The following is a 22720-nucleotide window of genomic DNA, read 5'->3' on the forward strand; positions in this document are numbered from 1 at the left end:
TTAGAAATAACACCAAAAGCACAATCTATAACAGAGAAAAACTAAAAAAATTGGACTTCATCAAAATTAAAACCTTTTATTTTGCCAAGCACAGTTAAGAAAATTAAGAGACAAGCTGCTGAGTGGGAGAAAGTATTTGCAAAACACGTATTTGATAAAAGACTTATATCTCAATTATATAAAGAACTCTTAAAACTCAATAATAAGAACTCTCAAAACCAAAGCATCTCAATTTAAAAATGGGCAAAGGATTTGAACAGACACTTCACTAAAGAATATATAAAGATGGCAAATAAGTACATGAGAAGATATTCAACATCATTAGCCATTTGGGAAATGCAAATTTAAACCACAATTACATACCACTATACACATACTAGAATTGCTAAAACAAAAAATGTGACATCACCAAGTGCTGGCAATTAGAACTCTCATTTATTGGTGGTGGGAATGCAGAATGGTACCACCACTCTGAAAAATCGTTCAGCAGTTTCCTATGAAGTTATACATACACTAACCATGTGACCCAGCTGTCTCTCTACCTTAGTGAAATGAAAATTTATGTTCGCTCAAAAATCTATATATGAACTTACATAGCAGTTTTATTCATGATAGCCCAAACCTGGAAACAACACAAATGTCCTTCAAAAGATGAATGAATAAATTGGGATACATTCATACAATGGAATAGTACTCAACAGAGAAAAGAAATGATACACAACTTGGATGAAACTCAGACATTATGCAGAGTGAGACAAGCCAGTATCAAAAGGTTGTGTACTGTATGATTCCTTTTATTTGACATTCTTGAAAAGGTAAAACTATAGTGATGTGAAACAAATCAGTGGCTATCAGGGGTTATGCATGAGATGAGAGTTTGTATGAGTAGTCCCAGGGAACTTTTGGGGTTGGTTGAACTGTAATGTGTCTTCTTTGTGGTGGTGGTTACACAAATCTGTACACTAAAAGAAAAAAATTGTTTTACCCTATGATAATTTTAAAAAGTTATTTTTTAAATTTCAAAGTTCATTCTGTTTTCTAAAACTTTGTATGTGAACTTGTTTTGTTTTGCATTTTGTTTGGTTTTGGTTTTCTCCTCTCTCCCTCTGCTTTGGGGTAGGCCAGTTTCATCCATTGTTCTCTACATTTGGTGGGCCCTTTTGGAAACTGATATTCCCCAGTTCTGAAGGGTTTTTTATTTTCATTTTTGTTGTCGTTGATTATTTCCTCCCCCCTGCCCTCACCCCCATTTTTTTCTCATTCTCCCTTACTGATATTCAGACATTGGACTTCTTAGCTTAGTTCTCTAATTTTCTCATATTTTCTCTTCTGTTTTCTTTCTTTTCTCTTCCTACATTTTCTTCTTTATTTTTGTCTATTTCTGGAAACTTAATTATATATTCTAAATCTTCTGTTGTTTAATAACCAATAATTTTTTGTTCTCTGTTTATTTTTGACGGTATCCTATTCTTGTTTCATTGTTGTGATCTTTTTTTTAATTATACTTTAAGTTCTGGGAAACATGTGCAGAACTCGTTGTGATCTTTTTTTATGGTCATTTTTCTTTCTTCTTCCTGAATAGTTTGTGTTTGTTGTGTTGTGTTGTATGTGCTTTATCTTAGATGCTTTCCTTTGATATCTGATGGCCCTTCTTTGCTCATATTTAAAAGGAAGATGAAAACACTGATTAGAAGTTCATTGTACGTTGTAAGGCTTGTCAACTCTGAGCTTCACTGTCTGGCAATTTGGCTCGGCTGTATAGTTGGGGAACCCCCAAAGGGAGTATGATTAGCTCTTTCCTCTTGGTCTGGTTGGAGTGTCCAGAGTGGAGACTGTTTTGGTCACCTACATGGAGGGATAGAGTTGGTTCAGTGGAGCAAGAGGGCTGTAGGTCTCAGCATTCCAGGATATTCATTCACTCTCCCTATTTCTGGCCCAGTATCTTGTCCTCAACTGTGCTTGTTTCTTGCTAATCCAGATGCTCTCTGTTGTACCTTTTCAAGAAATAAACCTTCAGCATTCTGCCCTGGTGGCAGGAATGATCTGGGGATCTAATTGCTTCTGAAACAGATTTTCAGCCAACACTTATTTTAGCCAACTCCCATCTCCCCTTATGTACTCCCACTTTAATAGGTATCTGGTGTTGCCAATTTGAGTCTTTCAGGAATTCTCCTACGTAAAATCAAGTTGGTTCTTATTTTTCTTCATGTTAGCCTGGGACTCAGCTTTCTTTACTTGATCTGTATGAGTGGAAAAGTTCTAAGTCTAGTGAACAGAAGTCTGAAGAATCATTGAAACAGAACTATAGTCATAGCCCCTCAATTAATTCCCAGGCTAAGCCAGTTTATAGATCCAGAACCTCTTGAATGATGAAGGGGCATCTATGTCTCCTTAAGGAAGGACCCCACTGTGCAGCCAAAAATTTACACTGCAAATCTTTCTCCTAGCCTTTCCTAAGGGGGACCCTGCTGCCATTTACCAGGGTGACTGTGCATTAGAGGAAGGGAAATAATTAGACTTTTGGGGAATTACCAGACACTGGCTCTGAACTCACACTAATTCCAGGAGATGCAAAGTGTCACTGTGGCCCATCAGAGTTGGGGCTTAGGGAGATCAGGTGATCAATGGAGTTTTAGCTTATGTTCGTCTCACAGTGGACCCAGTGGACTCCCAAACTCACCCTATGGTTATTTCCCTAGCTCTGGAATGGCATGCTTGGAATAGACATACTCAGCAGCTGGCAGAATTCCCACATTTATTTTCCTGGATTTCCTAAGTCATTTACCATTCACCAGTTTGCCACTCAGCTTTCAAATTTTATTGCTATCATCTTGTCCCTTTTGTTTTCCCTGTCTTGTGGGTCCGTGACTTTGAAAAGTTGCTGTATTGTTTTAGTGGTGCTCCAGGAGGGAGAGAGTGTGGTACCCCTGGTCAGTCTTCCATCTTTACCTGAAACCTCTATCTATACTGTTTTGCTAGATGATGTTATATGGTCTCATGGCTTTGAAGACCATCCATAAACTAATGAAACCTAATTTATGTCTCAAGCCCTACTTCTCCTTTCCTCTGTGCTCTAGACTTGCATATATAACTTCTTACTCAATGTTTTCTCCTTAGATATCCAATACACATCTCAGATAATTAATTGCCAACCCTCTCCTTGAAATACTCATTTCTTATCTAATCTTCTCATTCTCAATATCACTACCAGCCAGCTACTTTCTTCATACAAAAATCCCAGGAGTCATCCTCAGATTTTTCTTCTCTCCTACATCAACTTTATCAGCAAGTCCTACCAGTTCTAGATTCAAGATTTATCTAGAATTCATCCACTTCTCTTCATCTTCATGGCTTCTACCCTGACGGAAGCCATTTTCATTTCTCACCTGGGTCCCTGCAGTAACCTCCCAGTTGCTCCCCTGCTTCCACTCTCATCCTGCTATAATCTACTGTCTACACAGTAGCCAGAGTGAAAATTTTGAATTTTAAGTTGGGTCATGTTCCTTCCCTGATTAGAAACACTCAATGCCAGGCCGGGTGCAGTGGCCCACGCCTGTAATCCCAGCACTTTGGGAGGCCGAGGTGGGCAGATCACGAGGTCAGGAGATCGAGACCATCCTGGCTAACGTGGTGAAACCCCGTTTCTACTAAAAATACAGAAAATTAGCCGGGCGTGGTGGCGGGCGCCTGTAGTCCCAGCTACTTGGGAGGCTGAGGCAGGAGAATGGCGTGAACCTGGGAGGCGGAGCTTGCAGTGAGCCGAGATCGCGCCATTGCACTCCAGCCTGGGCGACAGAGTGAGACTCTGTCTCAGAAAAAAAAAAAAAAAGAAAGAAAGAAACCCTCAATGCCATCCCCGCTACATTTCCATACTATTTCCTCTGCCCACAAGGCCCTGTACGATCTGGCTCCTTGCTTAAATCTCTGACTTCATTTCCTGCCAATGTCTTCCTTGTTCCATCTACTCTGGTCACACAGGCTTTTTGTTCATCAAATTCACCAAACTCACTCGCTCCTCAGGGCCTTTGCAGTTGCCCTTTTGTCTCTGTGAATATCCTTCCCCCCATATCTTCATATGGCTCACTCCTCATTTCATTCAAGTCTTTGCTCAAGTATTGCTAACTCTGAGAAGCCTTCCCAGGGCACTCTCTCTCCTTTCTCCCATATCCCCCTCTGTTACTCTCTATTATGTTATCTTATTTCCTTCTGGAAGTATCTTGTTCATTAACTTTATTATCTTTCTCAAGTCATTTGAATATAAGCCCTATTGCTCTGATCTGGCATATTCTTTGCTGATACCATCACAGCTACAGCATTACCTCACCTGTAGGAGATAGAAACCAAGAGACTTCCGGCTGGGTGGCTAGGAGAGCATGTGAATAAATACTTGTGAAGTTGTATACTGACTATTAGTATGCTGATTCTTCTGAATCTCACAATTCAGCCTTTCTACAGGATTCTTTCCCACCTTGACTGATTCTACTTGAATACCTTTATGTGTCCCCTCTCTTCCTGCCAAAAAAATCCGTTTTAGGCCCGAAAGTTTGAATTCCCAAAGAGCAGATTGCTCAGCCTCTTTTCTGCCTTTCACCCAGATGTTGTACCTTACACCATATGTTGTGCAGAAACTTGGATGAGACTTTGGTGGAGGGGCAACTAGCGTACCTTTTTGGCCCTCAGACCTAACTGAGTATGGTGCGGGATTACGAGCCAGAGATTGCAACTAGAAATTTAAGTCCTGTTGGCTCACTGCTCAGTATTGGGAGTCTGTTTTTGCTTTCTGCTTTCTCCTAGTCTTTTAATTTTTAATGACTCTGTCTACCAGCTACTGATCTTGTCAAAACAGGCTAAAACTAGGGCAGGGTGGTAGAGGGGAGTAGGTCAGTTTCATTTCATCACGTTCAGAAAGGAGTTGAGAGATTACAAATTGTGAAGCCCCTTTTGTCTGGTCACCAGCATTAAATCTGATACCTCCCAGTCCTCCTGTTCTTGAGTTATACAGCACTTGTATTTGTGGGTCCAGTTATAAGTTTCCTTTTAAATCTGATGAAGTAGGGATGAATTCAAGAAATGACCCCTTTGCTTTTTTGTTTTTCTTGTGTTTTGTACAACTCAGGAGGTTCATCAAGAACGAATTGCATTGGAAAACCAATTGGAACAACTTCGTCCGGTCACTGTGTTGTGACCCCCCCATGGTTCAAGTGACAGTGGGTGACCTTGTCTGCCAAGATCTTTCTTTTGAATGTTTTGAACCCAACTACTTGTCATAGATGTTTGACTGTGTCAAAAGCTGTGAGCAGCAAAATATAATCCATATGACCTTTTCTCTTGCACTTCACTTGTATGTTTTACTGTGGTGGAAAAAATACTTCAACTGATTATCACACTTGAAATGCTAATTATCAGTGGAATTTGTCTCCTATTCTTAAGTACTTCTGCAAGGTATTAGATGCTGCTCCTTACCAAAAATCAGTCTTCTAGCAAATAAAAATAACTTAGAGCATTATTTATTTAAAGAATTTATGTTTTCTATAAAACCTTATAACCAAGAACCTTCAGGATGCTTGTAACCAAGTACTTTCAGGATGCTTTTTGTATGTATATCACATAGAGTAGGTTGGTTTCCTGAGTAATTGGGATTCCAACTAGATAGTCATTGGTGTGACCATAATAAAAACAAAAGCTAAAATAAAAGCATCAGATTTAGACTGGCGCTGTGCCCTCTACCACTATATGCCAAAAATTGCTTCTCTAGTGCCATTTTGATATTATATCTAGCTATAAATAATACATGACTATCGTTTTCTATTGAATGTCAAAGACTTACTGGGTCTTTACACCTCTGTAAAGTGGAGGTTTTGGCAATGAGCTGTTTAACTTGGCCAAGCTAGGCTGTCAACCCAGACAACTCAGTCCTTTCATGTAAATTTTTGGGCAAGAGAAGTCTGCTTTGACTGCCTTGCCTGACCAAATTAAATAAATAGTTGCCAGATCTCTACTTTTATCCTGCATGGGATAATATATCTGTAAATGCATGAGTTTGGAAACCACCCATCAAATATGAAAGGCTGATGAGACTGTTAGGATTGATAAACATTTGTTGTTTGAACCCAGCTATCCAAACTGGGGAAGAAGGGGAAATGGTTGTTACCAACAATCTCTAGTAGTTATTTTAATCTTTATTTTAACCTGGATTGCAAATGTATGGGGTATGAGGAGATAATGAAAGAAAAGTGGTCCTCATGCTGGATATGTGACTGTTTTGTTCTCTGTAAAGTGTATTCTTGGGAAGTGATTGGTTTATATCAGATTCAGAGGAGCCCAATTAACTCCAGTGTAGGTAATGTAAAACAGTAAGCTCAAATTGCAGAAGCCAGTATCCTACAGAAATTTAAGTAGCTACTGCTTCTCCTGAAAGCCCAAGTTGAAAATGGGACCACAGGGGCACAGGGCTACTGACCCTCACAGGGCATGCCAGCGTTAACACCACTTTGAGAGACCAATGGCAAGAAATGCTGTCTCTTGTGCATTTTACTAATTTCCCCATTCTTAGGGTAGCAGGGTGGGGGTGTATAGGGTCTTTTTGAAGCAGTTTTGGATAGGTTTGCAATATGTGGGATTCAGCCTTTGATTTCAATAGAGCTGAGAGCTTTTAGAACAAGCAGGCATTTATTTAATGTTTCCTTAGTCCATTGGCAAGCTTTATCAATAGCTTAATGGCAGAGGATAAAGGCTCAAACAGATGATGTTTTTTCCACAGAAAAACAAATTGTTGAATCTATTCCGTGCATATTTAAGGATTTTGAATTGATTTTGAAAATCATGAAACTTGAACTATTTTTCTATTCCCTTTTTTTCTTCCCCATTTGCTGCCTTTTTTGTTTTTGTGGGGGAAGGGTTGGGAGTAAGTTTAAACTCTTCCGAAGATTATGAATGGGTCAGCACAAATTTTTAGGCAACTGCTTTTTCCATGTTCTGAGATCTACGGGCTACAACAAATTTTATCAGCAGTGTTTTTTGTTTTTTTGAGATGGAGACTTGCTCTGTCGCCCAGGCTGGAGCGCAGTGGCGCAATCTCGGCTCACTGCAACCTCCACCTCCTGGGTTCAAGCAATTCTTGTGCCTCAGCCTCCCGAGTAGCTGGGATTACAGGCACCCACCACCACGCTCAGCTAATTTTTGTATTTTTAGTAGAGATGGGATTTTGTCATGTTGGCTAGGCTAGTCTCGAATTCCTGACCTCAAGTGATCCACCCGCCTTGGCCTCTCGAAGTGCTGGGATTACAGGCGTGAGCCACCCGCCCGGCTATCAGCACTGTTCTGATTGCAGACGTTTCACAGCATGTTTGGCTTTTGGTAAATTCAATCCAGGAAAGACTAGCATGTGCACTTTATCTCATAATCTTCCAGTACATATGCTCTCAGTTGGGATAGCAGTTCATTTCCATTAGGCAGACGTATAAACTAAGGAATGTTAGTCTGCAGTATTCATTTTAAAAATATTGACATGCTTTTCCCCTCCCCTCCATGAAGTCAGTGCCAGAGTGAGCCAGATTGGGAGGTTGGGGTTTTGTTTGGTTGGCTTGGTTTTCATTAAGGGAAAAAACTTGCATTGGACAATCAAATTCCCCTGAGTTTCATAATCTCATCAATATTTTAAGATAGGCGAGCACACACTAATAATATCTATGCCTACCTTCTTGGGTGGACTCAACTGTAACCACAGTTTATTAGTTGCTTAGAAGTGGATTTTTAAAAAACAGTTAAATGTGTGTGCATAACACACAAGTAATGACACACTACTATTATTATTACCTAAGTAGTGCTCATCCTCTCTTTCTGTGTTTTCTTAGGATGTGCACTTTAATTTAGGATTGTAACGCCTAATAATATTTCTGTGAGCCTTTAATGTGATTTATAAGATGGCCGAATTACTGAAATCACCATTATACCTCTTCCATAAAACGACTCCAAAGTTAGACCTGCCTGTTGGGGAGAATTCTATAGACAGAAGGTCAATGTTGTCCCCATCCATAGGGGTTGAATTACCTTGCTGTTAAGTGGTCTTCCCCCATTGGGATCCTACAGTCCCACAGATGAAAGCACAGTAGTAGCTGACAGCTGGCTTATTTGGTCCCTCGGCATCTCTCGTATGTGGCATATTGCTTTTGCCACTTTCCTATCCAGCAGACATCAAAGCAAAACTAAAAGGTAGATATCTGGAATGAATGTATATGTTGTAATTGAGGCAGATATTTGCCTTAATTGGAAGGATCTAACTGCTTTACAAATATTAAACAAGTGCTTGGGCATGATTGGGAGAGGAGGCAGCTTAGCTGGAAGCTGTGCCCATCTTACTGTCACTGGAGAATAGGATGTCAGAGCTGGGCAGGACTGGTACCCATCATTTGCAGTTTGCATGTGGGGAAACCAAAGCCCTAAGAAACAACAGTTCCTGGCCCAAAAAATCCATAGAAAGAGGTAACTAGTGGCAGATTTGGGGCGCCAACCTGATTTTATGGATTTTGAGTTAGATTCTCTACCCTCTATCAATACTAAAAATAGATTAGGAGGGTTTTTTTTTCTGTTTATCATGTTGAATTTCATTGACTTAATTAGTCTTTAAATTTGAAAACATGTTTTAGGGAGTTTAGTTCTAGAAATTTCTCTTAGATTGAAGTGACAGAATCTGAAAGAAAAGAATATGATTGAGCTATTTGTTTTCCTGAACACCTCACCTTTTATGATGCAATAAGTTACTCTGAGTTTCTTGGCAGAGTTTTTGACAGCTGTTGCTTTCAATGGATTCCATTCCTGTATTCCTTATGGGAGGTTGTTTTTAAAATAGACTACTGCGATTGAAATGAACTCAATATGTAGTTAAGTTATAGTTTTCTTCAATGTATTTTTAGTTACTTGGGTCACAAATGTTCAATTTCAGCATATTTTAGGGTGAGTAATCAAAAATGTGAATTTGCCTTTGATTTCCTACCACTGTCTGAGCTATCATAAAGCATTCTCTTTAGTTGTGATTTGATTCTATAGTCTGTTTCTAAATGACATTTGTCTGTTTCTTAAATGATCTCACAGCCATGGTAATAATAGATGTGTACTCAGAAGATCAATAAGGTAATATTGGAATTCATGTGTTTTTTGCAATTAAGGCAGGCATTTGCCAATGTCTTCTTTTAAGCAGTAGTTGGAAACATCTCAATTACAGTGTAACACCTTAGAGCTAAAAACATTTGTTCAACACAAACTAGAATCACACCTTCTCACTAGATATCACCAAGGGAATGTGGTTTTAAAAATAAAAAGAAAACAATATAACGTATCATGGCAACCAGAGCTTCCCATATTATTGACAAGTAGGGATCATTAGGTTCTGGTTTGAACATTCTGAATGTGAACAAAATGAAATAGTAGTTAAGAGGTGTTTTCCCACTGTGTTTAAAGAGAACACTAGTAATTCTGGTTTTTCTTTCTAACTGCTTTACTGTTTCAAGGGTATTCTTTTAAAACTCTGATTTCAAAGGATCAGTTGAATTTATACTTTAGTTATGGGTGTTTTGTTACTTTTTTTTTTTTTGTATCATGACTCAGTATGGTTCAATTTCCTAGTAAGAAGTGGGGATTTGTGTTTTTGGAGTCCTCAGCTCACATGTCTTGTTCCTCCTTCAGCACAAGCTAGGGGAGATCCTACCAACACTGATAGGTCAGTCATTGATGGCAATTTGAATGTGGGTATTACTCTGTGAGCCACCCTGCTTCGCTTGTTTGTAAGGAGAAATGCATCTGGTTATGTGAATTTCCCGAGAGCAGCAGACATGGAGGGCCAGACTTTAAAAGCAACGCAAGCAGATTCGAAGAGCTGTTGCCCTCTTCTAAAAAAGGCTTTTGGAGGCTGTGTTACATGCATGCCCTAAAGCAGTCAGTCTGTTAGTATGAGCAAGACATCTGAAGTACACAGTTGCTTTTAGGCTTGTATAGTTATTTTCTACACATGCCAACACACATGATGATAAAGGAACCTTTTCTAGGAGGCATTGCAGGGTTTCAATACACAGGACATGTTCTAGTTACAGAAGCCTTGCTCTGCTGTCAACAATTGGGAAATGCTCATTTTTTCATGTTTTGTGAATACTCTGGTCTTGCTGTAAGCTAATGTCATGGCTGTGGGATATTAGAGAAGTGGGTTTATGACTCTGAAGACCAGCAGACACCAGACTTTAAAAGTGCTTAAATTGGAATTTGGAAACTACAGTAAAGAAACCTTCAGATACCAGTTCCATCCTGAAGCCCTCTGTTGAACAACAGGGCCAGATCCTAAAGCTCTTTCAGGGAGCTCTTCTCTGGGGCTGGAACAGTTGATTATGCAACCCCATTGTGTGGAGATTGGATCAACTGAGTTGTGTTATTTTTGTTTTAAGTCACCTTGTGCGAGAACCTCAACCGCACCTATCTTGGGAACCGGGTATACCCTTTTCTTTAGCACTGCTATCCTTTTTGTCTTCAGCACAAATAAGATGTTCAAGTGAGCCAGAAGCAAGAAGAGCCATTTTAGTCTTCATAGCTATTGGCTAAGAGAGATAATGAGCTGATGGTCTATTTTAACCTTGAAAGTAAAAATGTATATTTTTTCACTACAAGTACATTGAACAGTAAAAAGTGTAACAGCAAAGTATATATTTGATGCCTTCTGTCTTTTCATGATAATGTGCTAACAAGTTGTGTTAATATTTTACTCAGCCAGAGTCTCATTCATTTGCTAAGCATTGGGAACATTATGTATATTGACCTTAAACATAGGTGTCCTATATTTGGATTGTGACTTGTAGACTCAAGCTAACCTTACTGCCTCTTTTTCACACTTGTTGAAAAGTCTGTGAAGAACATAGTTAAAGATCTCCAACTTTGGAAAATATACATGATGTGAAACTGGGGTGCTATGTTAAAAATAAATGTATGATAACTAAGTGTGGGTTTTATGGAGTCTTGGTGTCGATATATTGTGGTTTGCATTTGTTCTCATGTATTTAATGAAAATGATGGGAAAAGGAGTTGGGAGTCTTTCCAATTAAGTCAAAGTCTGAGATTTGGTTGCTTTTACCTCCTGGTGATCTGAGACAGGTTCTTAAATACCTGCACACAGTAAACACTTGGCAGTCATGGGATATCATGGCTGACTCACAGTGCATTTTAAAGATCTGCTAAATTGAAAACTTGGCTCAATGTGGGGCCAGGTTATTTGCTTTATCTTGTCAGTGTTCTTTTGTTCAAAAATATTCCCATCATGATGTCCTTAGCTGGAGTTGGGGTGATGGGGAAGGATCAGAAAGAGTTGGCTTGAAATCTCGACCAAGTAATCTGGCACCCTAGTTATAGTTTCTTACCTTTAAAATTTGAATAATTTGGGGAGGCACCTCTCCTATTGGGTGAGGGGTTTTATTCCATATTGTGAATGCAAATGGTGGGCTACAGATAGGATATTTCCAATCTAGTAGTCCCAAAGGACAAACTAACTCTGGAAGAATCATCTATCATTTGGCCCATAAGCTTGGACACTGGAGATCACCAGGCCCTGACCATTCCTAAGCATTGATGTGGATGACTGGGTCATTTACTTTAGAAATAAAAGGGATCTGAGATAATCTATGCAAGCGGTTCTCAAAGTGTGGTCCCCAGATCAGCAATATCAGCATCATCAGGGACTTATTAGAAATGCAAATTCTTGCCACCCCTGCCCTGCACCAACTGAATCAGGAACCCTGGTAGTGGGACCCAGCAATCCCTGTGTTCATAAGCCCTCTGGGTGATGCTGATGTACGCTAAAGCTGGAACTACTGACTAGCCAATCTCATTTTACAGTCAAAGAAACTGTGGTGCAGAAAGGCAAAACTGACTCATCCAGAGTCTCAGCTGATTCAGAGCAAAGGCTAATTGTGTTTCCAGGGCATAGTTTTTGCTGTGCTACATTTTCTATCCATGAATTTGTTCCTTCCCATGACCCTCCTTCCATCGATATTTATTTAATGTGTTCCTCCTGTTTAACTGCACTGTGTTAGGAGCTGGAGATGAGACTAACAAGACACAACTCCTTCCCCCAAGGAGCCCACAGTCCAGTGAGACAGAGACCTACAAATGCATTGCAGTGCAGAGTGGGATAGGTGCTATGTTGTATAAGGGTAGGACAACTGCTGTAACAAAGAACCCTGGGAATTCAATGAATCTCATTCACCTCACCATCCAGGGTGGATGCTTACAGTTGTCCTGTTTTCCTTGTGGTTGTTCAGGAACCCAGACTCCTTACATGTGTGGCACCGTTGTACCCTAGGGCTGGGGAGTTTCCTCCCTTTAGCCAATGGTTTGATAAAAGAGAGATGGTGGAGAAGATACAATTACCTTTCACTGAAGTAACACACATCACTTTTCTTCATTTGCTGGAATTCAATTATCTGACAAAAGTTAACCACAAGGGAGACCAGGAAATGTAGTCTAGCTGTGAGCTCCAGAGGAAAAAGTTTTGGTGAACACAGTATGTACCAGAAGACGCAAGGCCAGGTTGCTCTGAGAACACACAGGAGGGGTATTTAACTCAGATTATGAGGATTCAGGAAGGCTTCATGGAATAGTCTTAAAAGAGGGATAGGCATTTACTAGGAAGAAGAGGATATTCCAGGCAGAGAGAGCTGCATGTGCTAAGGTGGGATATGATAAGAACATGATATATTCTGGAACTGCAAAGAAATTCTCATGTGGATGTAATAGATGGTGTCTTAATTTGTTTTCTGTTGCTTATAACAGAATACCCAAAACTGGATAATTTATAAAGAAACGAAATTTGTTTCTTACAGTTATAGAGGCTGAGAAGTCCAAGGTCGAGGGGCCACATCTGGTGAGGGCATTCTTGCTGGTGGGACTCTCTGTAGAATCTCAAGGTGGCAGGCGATATCACATGGTGAGGGAGCTGAGTATGCTAGCTCAGGTCTCTCTGCTGCTGCTGCTTATAAAGCCACGAGTCCCAATCCCATGATAACCTGTTAATTCATGAATGGATTAATTCATTCATGAGGGCAGCCATCATGACCTAATTAACTCTCAAAGGCCCCACCCCTCAACACTGCCACTTTGGGGATTAAGTTTCAATGTGAGTTTTGCTGGGGACAAACATTCAAATTATAGCAGATGGATGTGGAATATGGAGCAGAGAAGGACGCAAAGGTAGGGCACAAGGCCAAATGGGAAGGCCTTGCATGAGAAGGCATAAACCACCCTGAGATTACAGCTCTTTTCAAGATTTAAGAAGTGCATGAAGTTGCTTACTTCATGAGTAGTCAAGGAATGATTTGTGTTCTCCCAAATTTTTCCTACTCCCTAGAAAGGAAATGTTTTACTGGAAGATTGTAAACTAATGTTTTAACGTGGACCAAACCTGCTAGTTTAATTTGTTATATATCTTCTGGCATGTGTTTGGGCAAAGGACCAAAGCCCAGAACACAAGTGACTAAACCCTGGTAAGCAGGAGTCCTAGTGAATGATGTGAGACTTTTTCCATCTTCAGCTCTTTTTGAAAGGGGAGATGTCATGGGCCCTGAGATGACTGAGAGGTGCAGGACTCCCTTTTTATCAAGAAGTCTATCAAAGGGCAGAAATAAAGAGTGTGGAAATGAAGCTGAAATATACAATTCCTTTTGAACAAGAGTGCTCTATGAGTTTATTAAACACTTTTGAAAAATTACCAAGCCTGCAGGAGAAAATGCTTCAAGTAGAGCATCTCCATGGCAAACTGTAACTTCAAAGAACCCTGCCGTATCGTTTTTCAAATGTGAAGTGTTCTGGAAGTGTGAACAAAAGTATTTCCAGACTCTGAGTGGTGTTTACCTCATTGCATTTTTCTTTCAAACATAGAGGGAAAAGGATCTTTATCTTTGGATATTAAATTATAACCCAGATATATTTTCCTTTATTTGCCCTGAAATCCTCTTAGCAGATTTGGCAGAAAGAAGGAATTGACACAGAAACTGTAAAAATTTCAAGATTCACCTGTGAAAATCCTCTAGCATCATCAGCAGAAGACATTATATATGTGTATATATATACACATATGTAATACATATATATATATATATGTATTTTAAAACTCAACAATAGCCACAGTAATTGTTTAGAATGTAGACCAACAAAATATTTTTTAGGAGGATGAGTATTTTATCATTGACATTGTTTAGACTTAACGGGTTCATGGTGATGATAAAAGCCAACTAACTTATAGTCAATTTTATTGTTTTAACATTTTCTACAGAGAATACACCCCTTATTCTTGTACCTGGGGTGGACCATTTCTATCCTGGGCATAGCACTACAGAACAGAGTGAGTGCCTTCATCCCTGTGTTAGAGTTAATAAAAACTACAAGGCTGAAGGAAAGCCAGGGGGAAGAAAGATAATGCATAGGGAATGGAATCAAGGAAACCAAAGTAAATTAAATACAGATACAGAGAATTGTGTTGCAGGTCCTTTGAAATTCAAATGAAATTGGCTTGAACTTCAACCCATGTGTGCTGGGAGCCTGCATCCCAATCTTTCTGGAAGTTCTGAGAGGCAGAGGTAATGGTGGAGGGACTGATGTTTTTATCCTAGTCACTTGTGGCTCTGATATGCTTCCTAGGAATTAGTTTGATAGATTGACCATCTATTTTCCCCCAAAATATCATTTACATGAGGCATTTGTGTGTATGTGTATGGAGGATGGGGTGGAATGGAAATGGGGCAGAATTCGTAGACTATTTAGAGAGATGAGAGCTTTTAAATAGTTTATATCCAGAACCACCACATTGCACAGCTCCAGGGGACATTGTTCATGTTGTGTTTTTAAATTTATTTTTTAAAAAATTTCTGACCATGGCAAGGACATCACCTTGTATTTTATATGATAAGAACACCCCTTGGAGTTTGTGATGCAAGTTGTCCTCTTTATGGCTCCATGCTGCATAGTCTACTCTCTCTCAAAGTGTTCTTCCTTTTGCTTTTTATAGATCTATTGTTCTGCTTCTGCTGGCTGAAGGAAGGTGAGGAGGTGGGAACTTTAGGGGTCCTGTAACCATTTCTAACCCAGTTATTCTACCCCCATATCAGATCTCTTCTACCCTTACTGTTTCCATTATGGGTTTAGGCCAGTTGTTCTCAACTGAGTGCAATTCTGCCTCTGCAGTGTCTGGCAATGTCTGCAACTTGGCAATGCCTAGAGATAGTTTTGCTTGTCACAACTGGGGGATGCTACTGGCATCTAGTGGGTGGAGGCCAAGGATGTTGCCAAATATCCTACAGTGCACAGGACAATCCCCCACAACAAAGAATGATCTGGCCCAAAATGTCAATAGTGCTAAGATTGAGAAACTGTTACAGAAGAGCCCTCAGCCTTCTCTCCCTTTCTCTCAATTACCCATAGCAATTTAGCCTTCTTACCATTATCAGGAATAATCCTTCACATGGTCAAAACTATATCAACAGGTTCTGCTAAATTAGTCCATTAATTCAGATATCACCAGGGTTCAGGTGGCAATATAAATTGAGTGAAGTGAGTCAGGAGTAAGATGAGAAGTGGGCACTGGCCCATCTGCTTCAGTAGTAGGGAACAATGGGGTAATGGTGGGGACTGTGGCAAATTGGAGACTGCATACCCTGTGTATAAAGGCAGCCCTAACTTATTGCCATGCAGGCACCTGTGTTGATAAATGTCAGATTCCTTGAGAGAGACTCAATATCTCGCCTCCCTCATCCCACAGTAATCCCCTTTTGTGTTATTTTTTAGTTGAGTTGTTACATACACACGTGCACCAAATTTAAGTGTGCAGCACAATGAATCATCAAGATAATCTGGAAGAACGAACTTGGATTTAGACTACCAGGTTCCAAGACTTACATAGCTACAAGTAATTAAGACAGTGTAATATTGTTGCAAATGATAGGTTAATGGTACAGAATAGAGAGCCCAAATACATAGCCGCACATATATGATCCCTTGACTTGTATATTTTTTAAAAAAAGCCATCATAATTCAGTGGTGGAAAAGATGGTCTTTTCAATAAATGATGGTGGAGCAATTGGATATCCACATGGAAAAAAATGAACCCAGAAAACCTACCATGCAGAAAAATTAATTCAATATGTATCATAGATCTGAATGTGAAAGGTAAAACAATAAAGCTTCTAGAAGAATGCATAGGATAATATCTTCATGTGTCTCAAGTTTTTTAAACAGGGCATACAAAGGACTAACTTTAGAAAAAAAATTGATACATTGAATTTCATTAAAGTTAAGAACTTTTTATCAGAATTCAGGACTAAGAGAGTTTTGGCAAGCTGAAGAACAGTAGAACTTATTTGCAATACATCTGTCAAGGATACTTGCCTGTTTTTTCTATGTTGGCAACTATGTCTAATTTAAAACACTGAGGGGAAAGAAACCACTGTGCAGGCTGACAATACACAGGCCAAACAAAACAGGTCTGCAAGCCAGGTTGGGCCCACGCATTGCCTGTTTGCGACCTCACCTTCAGCAGCACAGAAGAATGAAAGAGGCTTTAACATTTCCACATTTTCTCATTCTTTACCTGACCAGCCTCAGTGAGGGGAAACAACAATGTAGACCTCTGTTTCCAAATAATAAGAATTTTCCCTTAGATGGCAGAACGGCTGGTTATAGTGAGTTTAGGTCTTAAATAAAACTTTCTTCCTCTCTGATAGATGCAATAATTAAAGAATATTTCAAAATATGATTCCATCAAATTTTTTTCATTGGCTCCCACTGTGTGTTCAGCTTGTCTTGGCTCTGTGAAGACCACAACTGATCCCCTTTTCACTTTGTTTGCTCTCTGACTCTAGAATTTCTCAGCCTCCCCAGATGATACTTTAGAGACCTGGGAAGTCAGCTTCAAGCTTCAATGAGGCAGAAGTCATGCAGAAACAGACTCAGTTTGAACTTTTTATGTTTCAAGCTCATTAATATCCAACTTCCTTACTTTCTACCTCCTTCCCAAACTCTGGTTCTAGTCTCTTTCCTTCTTCCAAGCACCACTCTTACTTAAGTTGGAGGCAATGGGGTGAGGTTGGAGAAAATTTCCTCTTGTTACCTCTTGTAACCCCACTGTTAGGATGAATAAGAGTAGGTGGCCTGAAGGATGGCACCCTGGAAGCATAACATAGTTGATAAAAGCATGGGGTTTGGAGTTAGACTGCCTGGATTCAAATCCTGTCTCTATTCCTTAATAACTTTGTAATCTTGGGCAAGTTATTTGCTTCTCTGTGCCTCACTCCATCATCTATACGTTACTGATAATAGTGCCCCCCAGCCCCCCAATGCACATCACTTAAAACAGTGCCTAGTAAGTGCTAGACATGTGTTTGTTAAATTAAAAATTGACTGTTGCCTGGTTACCTGTGAGGCCGTGGCATTGTGCTGAACATTGGGAAATAGAAGATGTGACCCCTGTCCCACCACCAGCCCACTCTTGATTTAAAGATGGGCAAACAAGTTGGCCAAATTGACCCTCCTCCTTTCCTTGAACTAGCCAAAATGTGACCACTGGATGATTTGATGACATCCTTCTTTTTGTGAAATCCAGTGATGTCTAAAATCCAAAGCCACTCAGAAGATGATTAAGATCATTCTGTGGAATTCTCTTTCCTAAAAACTGAAACTAGAATTATTATGCAGATGAGGAAACCTTTAACCTTGAGAAGTGAAGTGACTTACCCAGGATCCTTGTTATGGTGGCAGAGAGCTTACCAGAATTGTGTCCCACAATAATGTGGAAAGCAGAACTTGTGAATGATGAACTTATAAATTTCACTGAGGAGATTTCCAAGCAAAATGTTGAAGGTACACATTGGTTTGTTCTTTTTCTTTTTAGCTAAATGTGAGAGGAAAGAGAGAAGTTGAGGGAAGAACCATTAAACAAAAGGGAACCAGTACTTGATGATTTGGGAAATCCTTAGTCTATTGGGATTGCCAAGGTCAAAGTATTCAGTCACACAGAGGCTCTCTAAAGAGGTTAAATGTGTGACTCACAGATTCTCACAATCAAACCAGGGGGTATTTAGAAAGCTTAAGAGCATTATCCCTCAGCCATTTTAGCAGAAGTCAAAAACAGATGAAGTTATTTCAAAAATTTTATGGACCTGGCTTTCATTCCGTGACATCCATGGGAGATTCCCAAAGTTCTTAAGAATTGTATACTAATAGAAACACTGTTGGCTTGCACCAAAAGGAACAGAGAATATCTTAAATGGAAGAAGGCTGTTATATCCCCCAAACTCTGCTGGCAGGCAGCAAGCTGATATAAACACTTAGGTACAAACAAATACCAACTTTCATAAAAAAGGGAGGATGACTCAAAGGGTGGGACCAAGAGTCCAGAGGGTGAAGCTGAGAGCCCAGAAGGTAAAGTTGAGAGCCAACAGAGGATTATTTCTAGTCCTTGAAACCTAATGGAGTTTGGCTGGACTTAAAAATTGCTTTGGGTCAATGATTCCTTTTTACCTTCCATTTCCTCTTTTTTAAAAACATAATGTCTTTAACTGTTACCCGATGCCTGTCCCACCATTGTATGTTGAGAGCAGATAACTTGTTTCTTTAGTTTCATACATCCACAGATGGAGAGGAATTGTGCCCCAGAAGTTGTAGGGATTATATCCTGAGCCATATCTGTACTTAGTTTAGATGATGTAAATGACAAGATGTGGAACTTTTGAACTAGTGAGATTTAGATGAGATTTTTGGACTTTGATTTGATGCTGTAATGGGATGAGACTTTTGGGGACCTTGGGATGGGGTGAATATATTTTGCATATGGAATAGATGGGAATTATAGGGGCCACCAGAGGGCAGACTGTGATAAGCAGAATTTTGGCTGTCATGATCTCCACCCTCTGATGCTACTCCTGTGGTTATAGTATGTTACATGGCAAAGGGGATTTCACACATGCAATTAAGGTTACTAATCAGTTGACCTTAAAATAGGGAGATTATCTTGGATTATCCGGCAGACCCAATGTAATCACAGTAACTCTTAAATGCAGAAGAGGAAGTCAGAGAAATTTGAAGCATGAAAAAGACTTGCAGATGGAGTGGGCAATGTAATGAGGAATGCAAGGCAACCATAAGGAACTGAGAAAGGTTTATAGCTAGCAACAAGTGAGGAGACAGGGACCTTAACCCTATAGTCACAAGGAGCTGAATTCTGCCAACAACCTGAATGTGCGTGGAAGCAGATTCATCCCCAGAGCCTCCAGAAAGTATCATAACCCTGCTGATCTCCTGCCTTTTTTTTTTTTGAGAAACTCTAAGCAGAGGATTCAGTTGAGCCATGCTGTACTCATGTTTTTGACCTAAGAGACTGTAAGATAATCAGTGTTATTTTAAGCCACTAAGTTTATGGCAATTTGCTACAGCATCAATAGGAAACTAATACAAAGTCTGTATTCAGTTTCCAACATTATGGTGTCCACCCAGGTATTCCTTGGAGTTGGAGTAGGATGGGATTGGGGAAAGACCAAAAGATAAAAGGCCCTTTCTGATCTCTCCAAGCATTCATGGTTTTTATGAAAGACTGTCTTTTGGAAAATGGAAAAGATCCTAGAGGTATAGTGGCTTAGTGGCTGCTTCTGATATTTTAACTTGTCCGTTTCCCATCTTCCTCTCCCCAGTTCTGTGATAGCCTTGAAAACTAATAGCCTGCAGAGTAAAGAAGTAAAGACTGGCTTAGGTGTGCTTGATCTATGCAACTGCAGTGAAAACCAGCAACCTGGTAGCCACTGGGTGAGTCAGAACAGAGTTGGAGCTCTTTCAAAGCTCCATTCTTAGAGAACTGTCATAATTTGACCTATTTTATAGTTCCCCGGGAAATCTCACTCACAATGCTTGTCTTTATTTGACCTGACTCAGAGCTCATCCAGTGTGAACTGCCTTCTCCTCAAGGGCATTTGTCAAAAACAATTGGCAACAATTGTTTAATATCATGGCTGCCTGAGGCAGTGGTAAAAGTTGAGACAAATAACAAGCTAACTAAAAAACATAAATGGAAAAACTAGGGAATGAGATGTTCATAGATGGCCTTGAAAAGCTGTCACATATTCCTGGAAATTTAGAAGGCTACACACATGTTCACATGTACAGGTTTGAGTGCATACTCAGGGCTGCGTACATGCTCAAGAAATAACTGAGAAGGTCACCTCTGACTGACCTTAGGCTTCTGCATAAGCAGAAAGGGAAGGCTAAGACAGAGTTCTAAACTAGTTCTGTAAATTAACCAATGGCTTATAACAATTAAAGAAAAATGGCTGCATCTAGACAAGAACTGTAAGAACAGTCATACTGGCTGAGTGTTAAAGGTGTGTCCTAACATGCACAGAGAACCCCTCAGCAAAGACTCAGATTTATTGGTTCAAGGCATTTAAGGAAATGACGGTACAATTATTAACTACTAAGCTGAGTAGAGACAAAGAATACAGACTTTACAGAATTAGTTCAGGAATGTCACTGAACAAAGAGCAACAACACCAAACAGCAACAACAACAAACCATGGGGAGGAGGAAGAATCTGATTTTCAGAGTTGCCACATCACATTATACAAAATGTCCAGTTTGTAATGACAAATTATAGGATATAAAAAGAAACAAGAAAATATGCCCCAAATATGGGAGTAAAAACAATCAATAGAAATTGTTCTTGAGGAGGCCCAGATCTTGGGCTTATTAGACAAATACATAATTTAAATTAGCTATTTTAAATATATTCAACAGTGAAGGGAAACCATATCTTAAAAACTAAATGAGAATGTTGTCTCACCAAATAGAGAATACCAATAAAGAGATAGAAATTATAAAAGCAGACAAATAAAAATTCAGGGTTGAAAAGTACCAGAGGGGAAAAACAGCAAATTTCTTTAGGCTGAAGAAAGAATCAGTGAACTTGAAGATAGGTGAATTGAGATTGTTCATTCTTAGGAAAGAAATTAAAAAATGAAGAAAAATGAACAGGGCCTCAGAGGCCTATGGGACACTGTCAAGCATACCATTAGTTGTATAGTGGGAGTCCCAGAAAGAGAGAAAACAGATAAAGGGGCAGAAATAATGGGTGAAACCTTCCCAAATTTGATGACAAACATGAATCTACAAATCCAAGAAGCTCAATGAATTCCAAGTTGGAAAAACTCAGAGCATCACACTAAGACACCTCATAATCAAACTGTTGAAAATCAAAGGTAAAGAAAGAATCTTGAAAGTAGCAAAAGCTCATCACGTACAAGGGATGCTCAATAAGATTAAGAGGTGATTTTTCACCAGAAACCACTGAAGCTAGAAAATAGTGGGATGACATATTCAAAGTGCTGAAAGAACAAGTATCAACCAAGAATTTGATATTCAGCAAAACTGTTCTTTAGACATGAAGTTTCATTCTCAAATAAACAAAAATGGAAAGAATTTGTCACAAGCAGACCTCTTCTACAAGACATATTAAATACTGAAATGAAAGAACACTAGATAGTAAGTTGCCACATCAAGAAATAAAGAACACCAGTAAAGGTAACTACATAGGTAAAGATAAAAAACAGTATAAATATACTTTGTTTGTAACTCTTTCTTTTCTCCTCTCTGATTTAAAAGACAACTACATAAATCAATAATTATAAATCTGTTGATGAACATATAATATATAAAGATGTAATTTGTAGAAAAATAACAGCACAAAAGAGGCAGGAAGGAATGGAACTATGTAGGAGAAAAGTTTTTGTATATTATTGAAAATAAGTTGTGAAACTAGATTTTTATACGTTAGGATACAAATTTTATATGTTAAAATGTAAGTTACAATACCCAGGGCAATGACTAAGACAATGACTCAAAAATATAGCAAAATGGTAGATGTAGATCTCACATTATTAATAATTACATTAAGTATAAATGGGTTAAACACTCCAATCAAAAGGCAGAGATTGACAGAATAGATTACAAAAAAAGCATGATCCTATAATACATGGTCTACAAGAGATATACTTTAGATTCAAAGACACAAATAAGTTGAAAGCAAAAGGACAGAAAAAGATATATCATGAAACAGTAATCAAAAAGAGCTAGAGTGGCTCTACTAATATCAGACAAAATAAACTTTAAGACAGAAATTGTTACTGGTGACAAAGAAGGACATTTTATGATGATAAAAGAGTCAATTCATCAGGAAGATATAACAATCATAAACATATGTTTGCCTAACAGCAGAGTCCTAAAATACATGAAGCAAAAGCTGTCAAAATTGAAGCAAGAAATAGACAATACTTGTGAAATGCAGCTAAAGCAGGGCTTACAGAGAAATTTATAGCTGTACATACCTACATTAAAAAGGAGAAAGATCCCCAGTCAATAACCTAATTTTCCACTGTTAGAAAATTAGAAAAACAACAGAAAACTAAACCCAAAGAAAGCAGAAGAAAGGAAAGAACAAAGATTAGAATGGAAATTAATGAAATAGAAAATATAAAAACAATAGAGAAATAGAAAATATAAAAACAATAGAGAAACCAAAATCTGGGTATTTGAAAAGATGAACAAAATTAACCAACCTTTATTGAGTCAGTTCTGTGGTGTTTTTGAAACAGTTATCTTTTATGTCCTTAGCTCCCCTTCTCCCATTTTCTGCAGGGGTTATTTCTAACCGTCTTCA

At 39.0% G+C, this 22720-nt stretch overlaps 1 protein-coding gene and 1 long non-coding RNA gene across 16 annotated transcripts in view; one reads left to right on the plus strand and one right to left on the minus strand.

Annotated features, from left to right (window-relative positions):
* The window catches only part of REPS2 (RALBP1 associated Eps domain containing 2), a 249998-nt gene that overhangs the window by 195639 nt on the left and 31639 nt on the right, over nucleotides 1–22720 (plus strand). For 7 of the 15 annotated variants that reach the window (NM_004726.3, XM_005274625.4, XM_047442626.1 and 4 more), the window contains one exon: nucleotides 5117–10976. The exons of the other annotated variants lie outside the window; for them this stretch is intronic. In NM_004726.3, the coding sequence (NP_004717.2) occupies nucleotides 5117–5185 (69 nt within the window). In that variant the 3' untranslated portion in view covers nucleotides 5186–10976. Of the gene's footprint in view, nucleotides 1–5116; nucleotides 10977–22720 lie in introns of those variants that run through there. 15 annotated transcript variants of the gene reach the window in all.
* LOC124905252 (uncharacterized) lies at nucleotides 1576–17856 on the minus strand. The gene is made up of 3 exons (XR_007068400.1): nucleotides 17788–17856; nucleotides 12853–13037; nucleotides 1576–1845 (listed from the first exon to the last, which is right to left on the minus strand). It is a non-coding gene; the product is annotated as an uncharacterized LOC124905252 (long non-coding RNA).

The sequence above is a fragment of the Homo sapiens genome, chromosome X (genome assembly GCF_000001405.40).
Source record: "Homo sapiens chromosome X, GRCh38.p14 Primary Assembly".
Classification (NCBI taxonomy): domain Eukaryota; kingdom Metazoa; phylum Chordata; class Mammalia; order Primates; family Hominidae; genus Homo; species Homo sapiens.